General features: G+C 36.3%; 1 protein-coding gene across 22 annotated transcripts in view; it reads right to left on the reverse strand.

Moving 5' to 3' along the window:
* The window catches only part of MEMO1 (mediator of cell motility 1), a 143,186-nt gene that overhangs the window by 40,752 nt on the left and 80,480 nt on the right, over window positions 1–21,954 (reverse strand). For 21 of the 22 annotated variants that reach the window (NR_126034.4, NR_163996.2, NR_163998.2 and 18 more), the window contains 2 exons: window positions 12,224–12,336; window positions 9,352–9,463 (listed from right to left, as the gene is read on the reverse strand). The exons of the other annotated variant lie outside the window; for it this stretch is intronic. Coding sequence is in view for 15 of the 21 variants with exons in the window: in XM_047444636.1 (XP_047300592.1) it covers window positions 9,352–9,463; window positions 12,224–12,336 (225 nt within the window). In the remaining 6 variants the exon portion in view is untranslated. The remainder of the gene's footprint in view (window positions 1–9,351; window positions 9,464–12,223; window positions 12,337–21,954) is intronic. 22 annotated transcript variants of the gene reach the window in all.

A 21,954-nucleotide genomic window follows, 5' to 3' on the forward strand; every position in this document is an offset into this window, starting at 1 on the left:
GAGCTAGCAGGAATACTTAAAGGGTAATGAACTAATTGCTGGAGACTAAATGTGGACTACCCTGAGAGATACAAACTCCTGAGAGCCAAGGAATCAAGCTGTAGAAGGCTTTATGAAAGTTTTACTTCCAAGGGCCCCAACAAATACCCACTTCACTGAGTATTCTGTTCTCTTTACAAAAATGCCTAACTGCAAGAGAAACTATTTTACCAGAGCCTAACAAAATTGGGCCTTACAAGAGTTTAACAGACTTGGAGTAAAAGTAATACCCAAATCCAGCCCCCTCCAGCCTTCTTGTCTGACCTAAAGTGGGAGAAAATCTGAGAAGAACTTCTTAAGTCACAGACCAGTGGCACAGGCTCACCAAAAGAATTACAACTGATCACAGAATTATAGAATGTGTCTCCTCTCCTCATCTTACCACTACATCAACAGGGCACCTGTGTAATAACAGGGGAAAGTAACTGAAAGAAATGCAGGACTTGGACCTCATCTAACAAGCCTCTTAACAAATTGGGTGTAGAAGGAACATACTTCAACATGATAAAGACCACATATGACAAACCCACAGCTAATATCACAATGAACAGGGAAAAACTGAAAGCCTTTCCACTAAGATCTGGAACAAGATAAGGATGCCCACTTTCACCACTTCAATTCAACATAGTACTGGAAGACCTAGCCAGAACAATTAGTCAAGAGAAGAAATAAAGGGCATCCAAATGTAAAGGAAAAAGTCAAATTATCCTTGTTTGCAGGTGACATGGTCTTATATTTAGAAAAACCTGAAGTCTCCACCAAAAACCCTAAGATCTGATAAACAAAATCAGTAAAGCTGCAGGATACAAAATCAACACAGAAAAATCAGTAGCATTTCTATATACAAACAGCAATCAAACTGAAAAAGAAATCAAGAAAGCAATCCCATTTACAATAACTACCAAAAACAAAACAAAATACCTAGGAATAAATTTAACCAAAGAAGTGTAAGAGCTATACCAGGAAAATTTTGAAACACTGATGAAAGGAATTGAAGAGGACATAAAAAACTGGATAGATATCCCATGTTCATGGATTGGAAGAATTAATATTGTTTAAATGTCCATACTACCCAACACAATTTAAATATTTAATGAAACCCCTATCAAAATACCAATGACATTCTTCAAAGAAATTTTTTTAAATCCTAAAATTTATAAAAGGTATAACACATATAAAATGGGAATAGCAGAAGGAGAGAAAGAAATACAGTAATTACTGAGAAGTTTCCAAAATTAATGACAGACACCAAACCACAAATCCAGGAAGCTCAGAGAACTCCAAGAAGGATAAATACCAAGAAATTGACACTTAGGTATATTATATTAAAACTGCAAAAAACCAAAGACAAACAAAAGATCTTGAAAGAAACCAGAGGACAAAAACACTTTATCAATAGACAAACATGGATAAAAATGATAAGAAACATAAAAATGATAAGAATTATGTAAGATTTCTCTTCAGAAACCGTGCAAGAAGTGATAAAATAAAGTGCTGATAGCGAAAGAAAAAAACCCACTAATTTAGAATTCTATATCCAGGAAAAATTTCTTTCAAAATTAAAGAAGAAATAAAGCTTTTGTTAGTCTAACAAAAATTGAGGGAGTTTGTCAATTTAGACATTAGATCTGCCTTGCAAGAAATGTTAAAAGAAGTCCCTCAGAGAAGAGTAAGGATATAGGTCAGAAAACTATATCTACATAAAGCAAGCAAGCAAGTACATTAGAGAAAGAACAAATGAGGGTAAAATAAAATATTTTATTTCATTTTTTTCTTATTCTTAATTGATCTAACAAATAATTTGTTCAAATTAATAAAAGCAGCAATGTATTTGGTGATTATAGCTTATGGATAAGTGAAACAAATGACAGTAATGTCATAAGGGACAGGAGGGAGAAATTAGAAAGACCCTCACATGATGCTTCTACTACCCATGAAGCAGTATAGTGTTATTTGAAAGTTGTTAGCCGGGTGCAGTGGCTCCTGCCTGTAATCCTGTACTTTGGGAGGACAAGACAGGAGGATCACTTGAGCCCATGAGTTCAAGACCAGCCTGGGCAGGATAGTGAGACCCTGTCTCTACAAAAAATTTAAAAATTAGCCAGGCATGGTGGTGCATGTCTGTAGTCCCAGCTACTCGAGAGGCTGAGGTGGGAGGATCCCTTCAGCCCAGGAGGTGGAAGTGGCAGTAAGCCAAGATTGTGCACCCCTGCACTCCAGCCTAAATAAGAGTAAGAGCCCGTCTCAAAAAAATAAAAAATAAAGAAAGTTGTAAATTAGTTGTAAATGTATGCTGCAAAAACTAAAAGACAGTAATAAAAACAATATAAACATATATATGTATAAATGATATGATGAGAGGAAAAAATTATAGTCATATAAAACACACAATTAAAACCAGAGAAGGCAGGAAAAAAGTGGAAGACAAAAAAAAAGGGGGAGAAGATTGGCAATGATTAGAAAAGGATAGTAAGTAAGGTAGATATTAATTAAATATAGCAACAATCCTTCAGGAGGTGGAATGGATAAGCAAACTATGGTACATCCACAAAATGAAACAAAAAATGAAATACTATTCAGTGATAAAGAGAAGTTACCAAGCTCTAAAAAGACATGGAGGAATCTTGAAGGTATGTCGTTAAATGAAAGCCAATTTGAAAGGCTATATACTGCATGATTCCCAACTGTAGGACATTCAAGAAAAGGCAAATCTACTGAGACAGTAAACTGATCAGTGGTTACTAGGCACTCAGGGAGAGGGGAGAAGAAGGCGATGAATAGGTGAAGCACTGATTTTTAGGGCACTGAAACCATTCTGTATGGTATTATAACAACAGAGACATAATAGGCATTTGGTAAAAACCGTAAGACTATCCAACACAAAGAGTGAATCCTAATTAAACTATAGACTTTAGTTAATATAATAATGTATCGATATTGGTTCATCAGTTGTAACAAATGTACCATACTAATTCAAGATGTTAAGAACAGGAAAAACCGCTTAGGTAGGAGTAGTATTTAATGCCATATAAAAGCATCTAATGTAGCATTCTCACTTAGGGAACTCAAAAATATCATCAATATGGATAAACATAACAGATGAACATAACTAGACCTTCCAGGCTGAAGTAATCCTCCCACCTCAGCCTCCCAAGTAGCTGGGACCACAGGTGTGCACCACCTCATCCAGTTATTTTTTTTTACTTTTTGGAGAAAGGGGACTCACTTTGTTGCCCAGGCTGGTCTCGAACTCCTGGGTTCAAGAAATCCTCCTGCCTTAGCCTCCCAAAGTGCTGGGATTACAGGCCTCATGAGCAACCACACCCAGCCTAATGCTGTTAATTTTGGAAGATACTAATTTTTTCTACATGATTTCTATATATCCTAACTGAATCTGAATTGAACCTCCCTCAAGAGCAATTATAAAAAGCAATTATAGGCTGGGAGCGGTGGGTCACACCTATAACCCTAGCACTTTGGGAGGCCGAGGGCGGGTGGATCACTTGAGGTCAGGAGTTCAAGACCAGCCTGGTCAACAGGGTGAAACCCTGTCTCTACTAAAAATACAAAAAAATTAGCTGGCGTGGTGGTGGGCGCCTGTAATCCCAGCTACTTGGGAGGCTGAGGCAGGAGAATCGCTTGAACCTGGGAGGTGGGGGTTGCAGCAGGCCAAGGTTGTGCCATGCCACTGCACTCTAGCCTGGGCAACAGAGCAAGACTCCGCCTCAAGAAAAAAAAGAATTACAAAAATTAGCTGGGCATGGTGGCACTTGCCTGTAATCCCAGCCACTCAGGAGGCTGAGGCAGGAGAATCACCTGAACCCAGGAGGCGGAGGTTGCAGTGAGCTGAGATCATGCCATTGCACTCCAGCCTGGGGGACAAGAATGAAACTCTGTCTCAAAAAAAAAAAAAAAAAAAGCAATTATAATAGTAAAATTTATTATGCATTTCAATATTAAAGATAATATATGGTGACATACAAAAGAAAGTAATCATAAGAAAAAAACTTTTTAATATATGCAAAAAAACAGAACAAAGTGTATAAGATATGATCTCTTGTTTATATATTTTAACTCAAACATAAACGTGTATGTATAAATTTTACATATATACACAAACTTACATATGCAAAAATATATGTTAGTGTATGCATAAAAACCTTTACTGGCAGTAAACACTGGCTGAGTAGAACCAGAATCTTCCACCATTCATTTTGTACTTCTTGACTCTATTTACATTTTCTAACCATGCACGTATATTTTTTATGTCAGTAGAGTTAACTGAGCAATGAGATTGTAAGTCATTTTATGTTTTCTCCTTTAGACTACTATTTTTTTAAAAAGCTCTAATGAATACAATTTTTAAATCTATTAAAAACATGCAGCCAGGCATGGTGGCTCATGCCTCTAATCCCAGCACCTTGGGAGGCCAAGGCGGGCGGATCACGAGGTCAAGAGATGGAGACCATTCTGGCCAACAAGGTCTACTAAAAATACAAAAATTAGCTGGGCATGGTGGCAGGTGCCTGTAATCCCAACTACTCGGGAGGCTGAGGCAGGAGAATCACTTGACCCAGGAGGCGGAGGATGCAGTGAGCCATGATCCAGCCTGGTGACAGAGCGAGACTCCGTCTCAAAAAAAAAAAAAAAAAAAAAAGCAGAAATTTAAATAATACCTTAGACATCTATTTTTTAAAAAATACAAAATGTGGTTTATAATAGTGAAAAATGGGGGGAAGCTTAAAAGCTAAATGGTCAAGAACTGATTAAAGCATTACAAGGATCTTTACTAGAAAGTCTCAGGTATAGCCTATAAAGTGGAGTAAAAAAATGACAGGGAAATGAGTTCATGACAAGAAAAGCAGTTTAAAACAAGAGTATTTGTAGCCAAAGATGATTAAGAGTTTTTTTTTTTTTTTATTTTTTGAAAATTAAAAAAACATGTAATTTTTTTTTAAAAAAAGAACATTTGATCCACTTTTTGGAAAAATAATTAAAGTACTGAAAATGGCAAGACAGTTATTAATTCATTCAACAATCAATTACTGAAATCTTTTTGTGTACCAGGTACTGTGCTATGCATAGCAGATACGGTCAAGACTAGTTGCTCCAGGCAGAAAACATTATGGAACTACCATGGAAGGGACACAGACTTATATACAAATAATCCGTCAACTATTTAACCACAGTTTCTACAAATCCAATCACCAAAAATTCTTCCCACCTCTCAATGCTCAATGTCACTCCTCCCATCAAAAATAGCATCCCTAGTTCCCTCTCCTTGAATTTAGCCTTATGATGCGGTTTGACCAGTAGAATGAGGCATAAGTGATGCTGTGCCAGTTCTAGACTTCGATATTAAGAGGGCTGGAAATTTCTACTTTTGCTCAATTGCTATCCTGCTAGAGAGGATTCACCACGTGAAGAGAGAAGTCCTGAAGGGTGAGTGTCAACAGGCAGAGATAGACGAGAACCAAGATGAAAACTGATGTGCCTCAAGAAGACAACCAGCACCACGGCCCCAGAGAGGAAGCTAGGGCATCTTGGAGTCTTTAGCCTAAGTCAAACTGCCTCAATTGGCAGCAGATGAAACAGAGACAAATTATCTCCACTGACCCTACCAAATTTCCAAACTATAGAATCGTAAGTGAAAAAAATACACATTTGTGGGACCTAAAAATCAAAGCAACTGAATTCACAGACGTGGAGAGTAGAAGGATGATTACCAGAGGCTGGGAAGAATAGTGGAGGGCTAAAGGGTAGGTGGGGATGGTTAATGGATACAAAACAAAATGAGTAAGAACTAGTATTTGGTAGCACAACAGGGTGACTATAGTCAATAACTCAATTGTACATTTTTAAGTAACTAAAAGAATATAACTGGATTGTCTGGAACACTAAAGATAAATGCTTGAAGTGATTAATATCCCATTCTCCATGATGTGATTATTTTACACTGCATGACCGTATCAAAACTTCTCATGTACCCCATATATACACCATGCACCCACAAAAATTAAAAAATTTGTTTTCAATTAAAAAAAATGCATACATTGAGGTGATTTGTTATGCTGCAATAGGTAACTAAGACATTACTTGGGAGGCTGAAGTAAGAAGCTCACTTGAGACCAGGAGGTCAAGATCAGCCTGAGGAATAAAGTAAGCTCCCGTCTCTTAAAAAAAAAGTTTTTAAAATTAGCCAGATATGGTAGTACATACCTGTAGTGCCACTACTCTGAAAGCTGAGGTAGGAAGATCCCTTGAGCCTAGGAGTTCAAGGCTACAGTGAGTTATAATTGTGCCACTGCACTCAAGCCTGGGTGACAGAATGAGACCCTGTCTCTTTTTAAAAAAAAAAAAAAAAAAAAAGAGGCCAGGCACAGTGGTTCATGCCTATAATCCCATTGCTTTGGGAGGCTGAGGTGGGAAGATTGCTTGAGACCAGGAGGCAGAGGCTACAGTGAGCCATGATCATGCCACTGCACTCCAGCCTGGGCAACAGAGCTGAGACTCTTTCCCCCAACACCCACTTCTCCAAAAAAAGAGAAACCACACTCAAGGAGCCTCATTCACATCCTAACTTGATGGAGATCACAAGATAATAGATTTTGAGCCTAGGGTCATAGCAAGTAAGATTTCTGAACATCCTGGGAGGGCTGGGTGTATATGACATGTTAAAGAGACATGAATTGTCCACCAGAGGAAGAACTGTAGTAGACTATCAGCAAAGACGGCTGTCAACAGTTTCTCTTATTCCTGTATATACATGCTACTCCTCCCATCAAGAGGAGCAATATATTGCTTTTTTCCTTAAATCTTGGCTGACACAGTGATCTTATTTGCTTTGGAAAACACAATTCACTGGAAATGTGCTATGTAGTTTCCAGCCTAGGACATAATAGGCCTAGAAACTTCTGGTTTTACTCTCTTGATCCAAAAACAGAAGGGGGAAAAAAAAAGAAGAAGAAGTCTAAGCTATTCTTCTAGAGAGTAGCAAAAAAAAGAAAGAAAAAAAAAGTCCTACTTGAAGAACAAACAGGTCAGCTGGAGAAGAAATGAGGGGTCTCAACAGAGAGCCAGCACTAAGGCCCAAGACACAGGAGTGATGCTATCTGAGATACTGTAGCCCCATTTGAGCCACCTAAGTCAGTGTCTTGTGGACCGGAGCAAGGTGTTCTCTGCCCCAATTCCTGGCCCCCAAATTTTAGGCAATAAACAGCTGTGATTTTAAGTCACAGTTTAAATCTAAGTTTTACTAAGTTACTTTTACTTAGTAAAAGATAACTAATATAGGTAATTTTAAGTAAGAGGTTTTGTTACTTAGTAATAAATAACTGACATAGGTAATGAGTCCAACTAATGCTACAAAGAAAAGACACTAAGTACTATCTAAGGGTCAATATTAGGGACCCTAATGTAATGTGGCAGTAGTTTATTTGATACTATTTAAAAGGGGGAATTATAAATAGGAATTTGGTTTGCTGGCTTTTAAGTTTCTATTTTCCTAAATGTTCCACAATATACATGTTTTACTTTTAAAATAACAATAAAAATGTTATTTTGTTATAACCTCCTTGAGGATATTGTTGTCAGTTTATTGGTCTTATTGTTTTTTGGGTTTGTTTGTTTGTTTGAGACAGGTTCTCACTCTGTCACCTAGGCTGGAGTGCAGTGCCATAATCTCGGCTCACTGCAGTCTCAACCACCCAGGCTCAAGCAATCATCCCACCCCAGCCTCCCAAGTAGCTGGGACAACAAGCACCCGACACCACACACCGCTAATTTTTCTATTTTTAGTAGAGACAGAGTTTTGCCACATTGCCCAGGCTAGTCTTGAACTTCTGGGCTCAAGCCATGTGCCCACCTCCGCCTCCCAAAGTGCTGGAATTACAGACAAGCACCACTGCACCCAAAGTATTAGTATTTATTAAGTCTAAATTATATTTTCTCATGACAAAATATGCAAACATCTCAGTGAATAACAATATTCAATTGTCTTTTCCGGTTGAAGAAGAGAAAGTTCTGATTACAACAACAATTCAAGAAGTAATATATATGGTTTCACATTTCTGAAGAATTAGGATGTATTAAAAACCCTAAAATTATATTGCTTATAATGTAGTATCACACTGATTTTTTGAAAATTCTTCAGATTTATATAATTCCTCATGGTTATCATTGTGAGCAGAAGCAGACAAAAGATTGAGAAAAGTAAATAATACTTTGAATACAGAATTAGAGTGGAAAACAATCCAAAAAGACTGCGATAATGAACTAAACAAGAAAAACTAAACAGCAATAATTGAGAAGACATACATATTTAGGGTAAAAAAGAAATAACCACACAAAAGTCTGAGAACAGAAAATAATCCATCTGAATATTATGAAAAGGCCTTGGGCTTTGGCTGATCACAAGTACATTTGCCAACAGTAAGCTACATCAACATAAAAAATATAATGTTATCTTAGACTTTATTAGTACATTTAATTAATATTTACTGAGAGCGTACAGAGCATCATGTACTTTACTAATATAATGAACAAATCCAGAAGGAATCATCTTACCATACTTAGAACTGCCAAACTAAATATGAAATATTAAGTCCATATATAGGAAATGGTTTTAAAAATTAGAGAAACCTACAAAAGAGAAGACCTCCTAATCCAAATGTTTCACTAAAAGAAGAAAACCCTTGAAATAATTTTTTTATTTTATCAAAATACATAATAACTACTATGTGCTGGACACTGTGCTAGGCGGTGGGGTATACAGTAGAGAACAAAATAGATATTGTCCCTGTCCTCGTTCGGCTCACAGTACAGTGAGTAGCCCATCACAGGAAGACCTTTAGCAGGTACCACGTAACAGTCTGTCGAGCATACCATAAAAGAGATTCATGTACCTTGCACAAGGTTGAAATAAATGACCTCCAACATTAAATACAAGCCTAAAATTTTACGATTAATTATAGCATTGTACCATAAAAGAATGTAATTATTATTCTGAGATAAAGAAATGTCTAATGAATAAAATACAAGCAAAGCAAGATATATACATACCCACATACACTCACATACCCATGGGTTTTTTAATACTTCCACCTAATAAAACCATCATGTCAATTCGTATGTTCAGCCTTCATAGGCAAACTATTCAAAACCAACAATCCACCTTAAGACATTCTTGTCTCAATTTTTTATCTCACATCTTAATCTCCTTACCCTGATAATTACTAGGATTTACTAGTTTTAAATTACCAAAGAAATTAATGTCTATGATTTCCTGGGGATTTCTTATATCAATCAATATACCTTTCCATGGCTTTAGCTGTATAAGGCAAATGCATTTCAATACTGTGTTCATCTTCATCTGTCTGCAGAGACATGCGTTCAAACATTCCTGTCTTCCACAGTTCTCCGTAAACTAAAGAGATTTCAAAATACAGTAAAATAAATATATTAATGTATATCCTTATCCTGTGAGATTCCACCCAGTAACACAAAACTACATGCTTTTTGGCAAGAGACAGAAACACCATATAATATTCTCATTTTTATTAAAACAAAACAAAACAATAGAAAGAAAGGAAAGGAAGGAGGGAGAGTAAGGAGAAAGAGAAAAAAACAGAACTAGTTTTTATGTAACAGGTAAAACAGTAATACGTGTAAAGACTTACTCATCATTTGTATATGTTACATAGTTATATAAAAAATGATAATTTAAATTCTTCATCAGCTCCTTTCATTATTTCTAAAATCACCTTCGGGTCTAGGCTTTTCCTTGACTTTAATCAGTACATGCTAGCAAGAACATAATTAGAATTCCTACTGAAATATGGAAAAACCACTAGTCTATTTAACTCATGAGGTCAAAAGCACAGTTTCTGAGTTTTGTTTTTTAATAAAATGTGTGGTATTATTTCACACCTGAGGTTTCTGCCATACCAAGAAGAGAAAATTCTCACTAATGCTATTTTCCTGAAAATTCAAAATTAAGCTTGTAGGATGGATCAAAATATAAATTCGCCACAATACCGTCCCAACTTTAAAACACCTAGTAATTCAGGCCTTTCTGATGAACTGTGCTTAAAATTGAATATTGTGGAACAAGAAAAAGATAAAAGTTAACATGTAAAAAATATGTATAAGAATATTTTTAGCATAGAATAGAACCAATTTTATAATTAGATCCTTAAATGGGTTTACCTGTATCAAAGAAAGAAATAAATGGTTGTATGACCTCTTTTCTTGAAAAAATTCTCTATTTCTTCACTGGCAAGCTACCCAAAATTAAAATTTTCTGAATGCCCCAACAAGGTTTTAAAAGTAAAATGTGTTCCCTAAAACCCTCTCAGGAAGTAAGGTTAGAAATACTCATTTCATTAATAAGACGCATTAACAAATTGCTAATATTGTGTGATACCTAAAGCCTCAAATTATGAAAACTTATGCCAAAAATAAGAAAGAAGAATTTTTTCTTGCAAATGGACTCTTTTATTATTTTATTTTTATATTTATTTATTTATTTTTGGAGACAGGGCTTCACCCTGTCACCCAGGCCAGGCTGGGTGACAGCATTTTGCTGGGGACAGCAAAATGATTTCAGCTCACTGAAACCTCTACCTCCGGAGCTCAAGCCATCCTCCTACCTCGCTGCCCCATGCCCTCCCCCAACCTACAGCTACGTGCTACCATGCCCAGCAGATTTTTGTATTTTTTTGTACAGATGGGGTTTTGCCACATTGCTCAGACTGGTCTCAAACTCCTGAGCTCAAGCAGTCTGCCCATCTCAGCCTCTCAAAGTGCTGGGATTTCAGCCATGAACCACCACACTAGGCCTTGACTCTTTTATTCTATACAAGAAATTTCTGCAAAATTCTTTGAAACAATAGCACCCCTAACATACTTAAAAATATAATTTGAGGCCAGGTACAGTGGCTCACACTGATAATCCCAGCACTTTGGGAGGCCAAGACAGGAGAATTGCTTGAGACCAGGAGTTCAAGATCAGCCTGGGCAACATAGCAAGACCCTACCTCTACCAAAAAAAATATTTTTAATTAATTGGGTTTGGTGATGTGTGCCTGTAGTCCTACCTACTTGGGAGGCTGGGGTAGGAGGATCACTTGAGCCCAGGAGTTTGAGGCTGCAGTGAACTATAATCATGCCACTGCACTCCAGCCTGGGCAACGGAGTGAGACCCCATCTCTAAAAACAAAAATATATATATGTGTGTGTCGGGGTGTGTGTGTGTGTGTTTATATATATACACACATATGGGCGTGTGTGTACATATATATGCATATGTATACATGCACATGCACACACACATACACGTGTGTGTGTGTGTGTGTGTGTGTGTGTACATGCGTGTGTGTGAATAATTTGACTAACTGAAAGGACATATACCCAGATCATGAAGGTGGTTACTTCTGGGAAGGTAAATTGGGTTCAGGATGAGCGAGAAATTCTGAATAAATTGTGGATGTTAAGTACATCAGTTAATTTCTTATAGTACTCTTTATACTGTTCTATATTTTTAAAATTACTCCCCCCCCCAAAAGAAAAAATACCTTTATAAAATCAAAAGATTTTTACTTTATACATCTATTGTGTAAGAACTACTAAATAAAAACGTGACTCTGGACGCCTATGGAAAAAAATAAATCAACCAAAATTGTAGGCATGTTTAAAAATAAAATATATTTATCATTTATATAGCACCTTTCTTTCAGAGTTTCATAATTAAAGGCTCATTTTTTCCCATAAAAATCATTTGAAAGAAAATAAAGATATTATCAGCATTATCTATTTACAGTGAGAAAAGTGGCGTTACATGGAAGTAAATTAACACGCCCAGAATCTTTATGAAATTGGTATGGGTACTAATTTTTTGTCTCCTGGTACACTGAGTACATGGCATTTTTCTGAATATTAATGTAACCACTACAATCTGCACACTGGCAGATCTGACAGATTTCTGTAGCTAGCTAAAAAACACTAGTTGCCTTTTAGGGATATGGAAGAGTTTCTTTTTTTGCTGTTTTATGCAGATTAGTTATAACAATTTTTATTTTAAATATTGAGATATTACTTATGATATTCATAAGTTTTTAAATTAATTTACAAGTCCTGTTAAAAGAACATTAGCTATTTGAAAGCTATAATATTTCTATATACTTACTCTTTTGGTCAATACGAAGGTCATACAGAGGTGTCCTATATATATCCACACTGGAAAGTGCACATCGAGAGAGGGGCACATGATGAGAAGGCCCAAGGATGAAAATTCTCCGGCTAGGAGATACACAACAAAAAAACACGTAACAATTGCACTTCTACACAAACCTTATTAAATAAAAGAGAAAAAAGTAATTCTTACAAATCACTTGTTTTCCTTCTTAATTACCAACTGTTAATGGCTGAACTGTGTTCCCCTCCAAAATTCACATGTTGAAGAACCAATCCCCAGTAGCACAGACTGTAGTGCTATTTAGAGATAAGGTCTTCAAAGAGGCGATTAAGTTCAAATGAGGCCATTAGAGTGGGGACCTCATCCAATGAGTCTGGTGTCCTTATAGGAAAAAGAGACACCAGAAGTATGCCTGCACAGAGATATGATCATGTCAGAAGGGGCCCAACCCTGACAGAAACTTGATATTGAATTTCAAGCTTCCAGAATTGTTAAAAAATAAATTTGTGTTGTTTAAACCACCTAATCTGTGGTATTTTGTTATGACAGCCCTAGCAAACTAATACACCTAATAATGACTTGCTCCTCAGTTAAGTTCAATTCCTTATTTCTGTCTTTGTTGGATGGCCTTTAAGAGAATCATATTCAATACTTGGAAATACCAGTTATCAATTAATACAGTAAACCAACCCACTATGCATAAAATAATCTCTATACTCTCAATGACAAGGATGCAACAGGTATTCAGAAGCTGTATTTTATTAAATGGATTTTATGCATTTAAGCTACTAAAATTTCAAAATTCTAACACATTCTAAAATAACCTTCTAAGATCCACCATGATTTTAATAAAAATGCATAATAGCATAAAATTCTAAATATCTATACAAAATATCCATTATAAAAAAGCATTCTGATAAAGCTATTTCCATATTTCTTCCATGGTAGGGTGAAAAAGGCATCTTGTTGAAAAGAATTCTATATAATAAGCTTTCTCTATTCCCATTCAAGTAGAAGTCATTCTCAAAAACAAAGAAACTAGATTATGTGTTATTTGCACTGTAGTCTAAAGAAAAGAACTGAGCTAAAGTGTAGCTTAAATCTTTACAATCTCTTTATCTTGACATCAAGAGTAATGTTAATTTCCTCTCATTCTGTCAAATACCCAAACCTGCCCTACAATCTGAATTCCAAAACTATCAATTTTCTCTGTTCTCCAAAATTCATATGAACCAACCTTCCCACATCACATACAAAACTTACAGACTCATAAAGCCAAAACTATGAGAAGAAAATATATGATATGCTATGTAGCTAGAAAAGTATTACTGATTGCTCAATTAATGAACAAAAGCTGAGAGATGAGCTAGTTCTTTTCTGTCAAAAATTTGCAGGCCAGGGAATGTGTGCTTTAGCAATGTATTTATTCTCATAAAATTCTATTACAGCTAAGAAAATTAACCAATTATTGGTTATATGTTACTTCATAAATTGCAGGGAGGAGATAAAGCTGTGGATATTAAGTTGTTCTGCTATGAAAAAAAAAAAAAAAAGAAAGTTGTGGGTAAGTGATTCTCAGTTTAGAGTCCCAAAACCTCCTTAAGACAGCACATACAGCAAACATTAAGACTTCATCCACAGGCCATTTCTGGTCAGAAACAGATTATCCTTTTCTTTAACTTTTACTTTAAGTTCAAGGGTACCTGTACGGGTTTGTAATATAGGTAAATTACGTGTTGCCAAGGTTTGGTGTACAGATTATTTGGACACCCAGGTAATAAACCTAGTATTCCATAAGTAGTTTTTTTATCCTCATCCTCCTCCCACCTTCTACCCTCCAGTAGGTCTCGGTGTCTGTTGTTCCCTTCCTTACGTCCATATGTACTCAATACTTAGCTTCTACTTGTGAGAACATGCAGTATTTGTTTTCTGTTCCTACGGGAGTTTGCTTAGGATAATGGCCTCTAGCTCAATGTTGCTGCAAGTGATATGATCTCATTCTTTTAAAGAGCTGTGTAATATTACATAGTGTATATATGTACCACATTTTCTTTATCTAGTCTACCACTGATGGGCATTTATGTTGATTCCTTGTCTTTACTATTGTGAACAGTGCTGCAGTGAACACATGTGTACATATGTCTTTATGGCAGAACAATTTACATTCCTTCAGGTACATACCCAATAATGGGACTGCGGGGCCCAGAGTTACTTCTGTTTTAAGTTCTTTGAGAAATCGCCACACTGTTTTCCACAATGATTGAATCAATTTACACTCCTACCAACAATGTATAAACATTTATTTTTCTCCACAACCTTGCCAGCATCTGTTAATTTTTGACTTTTCAATAACCGCCACTCTATTATCAGGTGGTATCTCATTGTGGTTTTGATTTGCATCTCTCTAGTGATTAGTGATTATGAGAATTTTTTCATATGCTTGTTGGCCACGTATGTATCTTCTTTTGAAAAGTGTCTGTTCATGTCCTTTGCCCTCTTTTCAACTGGATTGTTTCTTGCTCGTTAATTTAAGTTCCTTATAGACGACAGAATCTTTCTACCTCTCTTCCTTCAATATGTAATTATTAGCACTGCTAATCCTCACTTCTTGTCATCACCTCTATCATCAATTCGAGAACCATTTCAAAAAAAAAGTCAAATCTATAGATTTCTAAATGAAGAAAAACTAAAAGATAGCACTCTGGTCACCTATCTTAATAGCACATAAATAACATGACACTTTGTTTTAAATTAAAGGCTTACGTGGGCTATAGAGAATGGTAACTCAGAAATGTTTAGGTAGCCTGACTAGGGCCAGGTAGTATATGAACCAAGAATCAAATAATGAGAAAGGGCATTTTTCTGATTGAGGAAAATATGAAAAGACAGAGAGAAAGGATATTTAACATCAGAGCACTCCTGGAAAATCTGAAACACACAGTCAAAATATGAAGTGATTTTTAAAATAACAATCTAAATTCAAGGCATACATAAATTTCCTAAGTAAGTGTAATAAGGTTCTAACAATAGCCAAAAGATACACTGCTCCAGAAATAAACACCAGAGGTCTGCTGGAAGCCTAATTAACTCTTCTGATACCTGACTACTTTCCTTGTTTGCCTTTTTGTCTGCCCCAATCTAGATGAAGGAAAAAGAGCCCCACCAATCTGAATTAACCAATTCTGTACTCTACAGATTCTTTCTGGTTTGGTAGAAAACTCACCAATAGCCAAATCAAGTTCCATATTTGATTAAAAGAAATAATAAGAAAAAAAGGTTTAAGTCCCCTCAATATAAAACCCTTAAAAGCAATATATCTAAAAACAAAACCAGAAAAAGCTAAATGTCATTGAAAGGAAAGTAAAATGGGACATTTAAACCAGCCGTAATCTCAAAATGGGTCTCCTTGTTAGCTAAATGCTAACAAAAAAAATGAATAGTGTACATTAAAGTTCATGCATTTTCTTTGTTAGAATGCTAGATCCGTAAACACCAAGGCCACAGGGATATTTTGAAGAGAAATAAATAATAGAGGCATTAGAAGCAATGCCACTTTCTCTTCCTTTATTTGACTGCAAGGTGCTTTGTCTTTAAAGGCGTAACTTTTCAATATTAGCACATCATCGGTGATACACAAGTTAAAAAAAAAAAAAACCTTTAACACGAAAAAATGGGGGGAAGGAGCAAGATCAGTAGGCATTCTCTTAGAAATAAATGTACTTCATATATAATAGCTATAATAGAGAATTCACATTTGCAATGATAGTCTGTGCACCCAATGTATAAGCTGCCTGAGTGTGTACCCTCATGACTGTTTATTCAGCTACTTAGTCCAAATAATGGAACATAAGTAATTTTGTAAACGTGTTTCACAGGAAGTGAAGACATTTTAACCAAAGAATAAAATGTCATCTGGCCCCAAAAAGCATTCCTTTTTGCTCTCTTTTTCTGTCCTGCAAGGCTTGCTGAAAAATATGTATCAAAATCAAGTTACTACTACCTAAGGACATCCTGAATTCTGAGTTTTTAGAGTTTTAATAATAGTCAACTACCAATATGGAAAAGAACTAAAATGTATCATTGTTAAACTTCCTTAAACAGTCAAAGTGATTTTCTGGAAACATAGATCATATCACTTTCCTTGCTTAAAGCCTTTTATGGCATTTCATGGTCACAGGATAAAATCTAGAATCCTTAAAATGGGCTCTACACTCTTAAATGCCCTAGCAAATTAGCTATTACTCTTGCCCACCTTGATCATAATACCTGATGTATACTGGTCTTCTTGCAGTTCCTTGATAACACCAACAACTTTGCCTACTTCAAACTTTTCACCCATGCTATTGTTCCCCATTGCTTGGCTACCCTGGCTTAAAAAATGTGTTCCTCGGTTGGGTGCAGTGCCTCATGCCTGAAATGCCAGCACTTTGGGAGGCTGAAGCAGGCGGATCACGAGGTCAGGAGATCGAGACCATCTGGCTAACATGGTGAAACCCCATCTCTACTAAAAATACAAAAAATTAGCCAGGCGTGGTGGCACACGCCTGTAATCCCAGCTACTCAGGAGGCTGAGGCAGGAGAATCGTTTGAACCCGGGAGGCAGAGGTTGCAGTGAGCTGAGATTGTGCCACTGCACTCCAGCCTGGGGGACAGAGCAAGACTCCGTCTCAAAAAAAAAAAAAAAAAAAAAAAATCTGTTCCCGGAGATACTTTCCCCAATACCTTTCCCACAATTTAAATCAAGTCACCCTCTTAAGGTCTACCACAATAGTTCTCAAACTGTGAACTCTGGAATTCTGGTTTTCCTCAAGACCCTATGCAGCAGTCCATAAAATTAAAACTATTTTCATAAGAATGCAAGGAAGTTATTTACTTTTTTCATTTGCACTTATGGTGCAAAGGTGAGGGGAGCGTAAAACCACTGGCCCATTAGAACAAAGATCAAAGCAGTATCATCAACATGCACTAGCAGTCCTATTTTTTAACCTTACTCACACTAAGTTTAAAAGGGAGTTCCTAATTTCATTAAATCTTGACTCTCGAGTAGGTATCTTTTTAATATTCTATATGACAAAATGCATTCAATCTGTGGTGATAAAACATTTCTGCTGCATATGGAAGTATGTTTCAGGAAAAAGCAGTTGTGTAGTTTTGAGTTGTAAGCTGAACCAGACATTTTCCTCATGGAACAAAATTTTTACTTCAAAAGACAACTGTAGATAAATTACGGCTATTCCAATTTAGGTAGCTGGCAGAAGATTTCCCCAAAGTGAATGGAAGTCAGGCACGGTGGTTCATGCCTGTAATCTCAGCACTTTGGGAGGCTGAGGTGGGAGGACAGCTTGAGGCCAGGAGTTCAAGACCAGCCTGAGCAACATAGTGAGACCACATCTCTACAAAAATAAATTTTTAAAAAATAGCCAGGCATGCTGGCACAGGCTGGCAGTCCTAGCTACTCAGAAGGCTGGAATAGGAGGATCACTTGAGCCTGGGAATTCAACGCTGCGTGAGCTATGATCATGCCACTGACTCCAGACTGGGTGACAGAGCAAGATCCTGTCTCAAAAGGGAAAAAAAAAAAAAAAAACAGAATCTAGCACTTTAAAGAAAATAATATACTTGTTGTCAATGATAAAATTAAGGTTTTCAAGTGAAAATTGGACTTTCATAAAACTTTTATCACTGTAAGCTTGATAGCCTCCAAAGAATTAATGATTTTTTCTGATAAAATACATGGTGACATTAAGAAATGTTATTTTTTGCCAGGCACAGTGGCTCACGCATGTAATCCCAGCACTTTGGGAGGCCGAGGTGGGTGGATCACCTGAAGTCAGCAGTTTGAGACCAGTATGGCCAACATGGTGAAACCGTCTCTACTAAAAATACAAAAATTAGCAGGGCGTGGTGGCATGTGCCTGTAATCCTACCTACTCGGGAGACCGAGGCAGGAGAATCCCTTGAACCCAGGAGGTGGAGGTTGCAGTGAGCTGAGATCCTGCCACTGCACTCCAGCTGGGCGACAAGCACGAAACTCTGCCTCAAAAAAAAAAGAAAAATAAACAAAACAAAACAAAACAAAAAGTGATTTTTTACTATCATATAATGAAATACCAGCATTGAAAATATCTGCATAATCCAATAAAAATTTTCCAAATGCTCCACACGTTACAAAATTATGCCAGGGTAAAAGAGCCATTCAAACTGTAAAACAGACAATGAATTTATACAAAGTACAAATATTCGGCTGGGTGCGGTGGCTCACATCTGTAATCCCCGCACTTTGAGAGGCCGAGGCAGGTCGATCACAAGGTCAAGAGATTGAGACCATCCTGGCCAACATGGTGAAACCCTAAAAATTCAAAAATTAGCTGGGCATGGTGGCGTTCGCCTGTAGTCCCAGCTACTCGGGAGACTGAGGCAGGAGAATCACTTGAATCCAGGAGGTGGAGGTTGCAGTGAGCTGAGATAGCGCCACTGCATTCCAGCCTGGTGACAGAGCAAGACTTTGTCTCAAAAAAATAAGTACAAAAATTCATTGATAGTAACTTCAGATTTCGCATTATAACTAACCTTTAAGAAACTACCATTTGTTGAGTTTTGGTGTAGTATTAAAGAAAAATATCCACAATTATCTGCAAAGGTAATTACACTACTCCTCTTCCTTTTCTAACTACATATCTGTGTGAGGTTTCTTCATATACGTCAACTAAAACAAATGATCAAAACAGGGTGAATGCATAACCAGATATGAAAACATAGTTGTCTTTTATTAAGCCAAACATTAAAAGGAGATTTAATAACTAGTAAAACTGTAAGACATTTTTATATTTTGTAAAAAAAAAAAAAAAAGTAAAGCAATGCCACTTTTCCCACTATCTTCTATTAGAAAATGTATTTATTTCTCATTTTTAAAAATGTTATTTTTATTAACCTCTAATTTGTTTACTTTTTTAAATAATTTTTTAAGTATCTCATTTTAATTTTGAATGCATTCCACAAAGGTAGATGTGGTCTACATTTGGTGTCCTTAATAAGTTAAGGGTTCCTGAAACCAAGATGTTTGAGAACCACTGTATTTCACTTTCAGCTTTTTAATTAAATTTTTAGCTTTTAATAAGATATCTATATTCATTATCATATGCTTAATATCTATCTCACCTACCAATTTAGCAGCACAGGGCTAAAACCATGCCTGTTTTATTAATCACTGTGTCTCTAGCACTACCACAATATCTGGATCATAGCAGTCACTTAATAAACTTTTAAAATAAATATGCTTTAATTTATTCATCCATTTCTCTTGGAAAACAACACCTGAAAACCTTTGCTACCAATTCTTCATAGAACAGGCAAGTTTGTTTGTAAACAATCTTCATTATCACCTCAAAAGCTGCCTCTCACACTCCCCATTAAGTTATCAGCCCCCTAATAGTTACTGTGAAAAGAAAAATCTTGGCCAGGAACAGCGGCTCATGCCTGTAATCCCAACACTTTGGGAGGCCAAGGCAGGCAGATCAGTTGTGGTGAGGTGTTCGAGACCAGCCTAGCCAACATGGTAAAACCTTGTCTCTACTAAAAATAAAAAAATTAGCCAGGCCTGCCTGGTGGCATACGCTTGTAATCCCAGCTACTTGGGAGGCTGAGGCAGGAGAATCACTTGAACTCAGGAGGCGGAGGTTGCAGTGAGCCAAGATTGCGCCACTACACTCCAGCCTGGGTGACAAAGAGAGACTCCATCTCAAAAAAAAAAAAAAAAAGAAGAAGAAAAAGAAAAATCTTATTAGACCCTGACCAGTCCTATTATAAATCAAAGAATCATTCTGTCAGTTTAAGAATCATTAGTCCCCACAACTTGTAATCATTTTTGCACAAATGCTTTTAAATTTTATATTTTTTACCATAAAAATATATCCATTTCTCATATAAGAAAACACATGCAAACTATTAGCATTCGTTATAATAATTTATTTAACCTCATATAGTACATTCTCTTTTTTCCCAATTTTACACAATGTTATACCCCGCTTTTTTTATTTAGTCAATGCACTATCAGAAACTTAGACTCTTTAAAAAACAATGCTGCTGTAGAAAACCTAACACATTTAACTTTTTCCATTTTGGGACTTATTAGGATAGAGCTTCCGAACGTGAATTTCTAAGCCAGTAACTATATACATTTTTATGACTCTTAATATATATTATCAAATTGCTTTCCTAAAGTATTAACCTGATATAGTCCATTGAAATGCATTTTTTTATAAAAAACTAATTTTGCCATAATCTAGCCAGTTCTGGATTACAGGAATTACATAGCTGTATTGTTCTTCAAACTGTTCATTTAAATTGGTACCTCACTACTGTTTTTATTTCCATTTTTTTGAAAAATAAAACATATTTCCATTTTTATTTTTATTAATTACATTTACTTTTTGTAATTTCAGTTAATATTCTTTGATGATTTAGCCTCTAAGTACTATGATTTTTATTATTTTTGATATTATCCTTTGTCTTTTTTTGCAAATATTTTTCCCATTCCGTTCATCGCTTCCACTGGTTACATTATGACATGAGTTATTTTTTCATGTAATTTAATTATAATTTATCATGTTTTATACTCTTCCCAACAATGTCTCATAAACATTAAGACATATTGTGTTCCAAATTAGCTGTGGCTTGAAATTCCTCTCCAGATATGTTAATACCCTTATCTAACTAGTATTTACTTTGATGGATGGTGTTAGCAGAGGTTCTAAACCAATTCTTTTTCCAAGCTGCTAGTCAGCATTCTATCATCAATTTTGGAATAATTTTTACCTGTTATTTGTAATGCCTTTTAAAATCATATTTGTACCCCCCACCCACTTTTAAATTCTGGAAAGTGACAGGGTATCATTTACATTTTCAAAAGATGATCCTGGCTGAAATATAGAACAAAAATGGATTAATGTGGAAGGTAAGAATAGAAAGTGGTAGTATAGAATTTAACCTTTCTCTAAGGATGTTCTTCCTCTACTTTCTCAAAGCACTCTAAAGACACTATAATTCCCAGAGAGTGCCTCTTTCAAGAGAATTCAACTGTGACTGTCAATTATTAATTTTACACTTAGACCTTAAAATTTATTCATTCAGAATTCAGTTATTATATACTAATTACAAAAAATAATTTGATCGGGCTGGGCACAGTGGCTCATGCCTGTAATCCCAGCACTTTGGGAGGCCGAGGTGGGCGGATCACCCGCAGTCAGGAATTTGAAACCAGCCTGGCCAAAGCCAGGCGAAAGCGTGTCTCCACTAAAAATACAAAAAATTAACTCAGTGTGGTGGCGTGCACCTGTAGTCCTAGCTACCTGGGAGGATGAGGCAGGAGAACTGACTGAACCTGGGGGCAGAAGTTGCAGTGAGCCAAGACTGCACCACTGCACTCCAGCATGGGTGACAGAGCCAGACTGTGTCTCAAAAATACTTAATTAATTAATTAGAATAAAATAATTCGATCACATCAGCCATCATTTGCCTCTCTTTCTACTCATCTTCTTAAATCTTCCTCTTCTTAGTCCTTGGCGCTCTTCCATTTTTTCCTCTTTCCTTTTGCCTTCTTTCTCACTTTCCATTAACCTATTTAACACATGCTTTCCACTTCTATGAACATAAACTCTATCTATACCCCTCTACAAATTCCTAAACCTAATTTAACTCTGGGGTGTCCCATCAGCACAGGAGTT

Source organism: Homo sapiens, chromosome 2 (genome assembly GCF_000001405.40).
Source record: "Homo sapiens chromosome 2, GRCh38.p14 Primary Assembly".
Taxonomy (NCBI): Eukaryota; Metazoa; Chordata; class Mammalia; order Primates; family Hominidae; genus Homo; species Homo sapiens.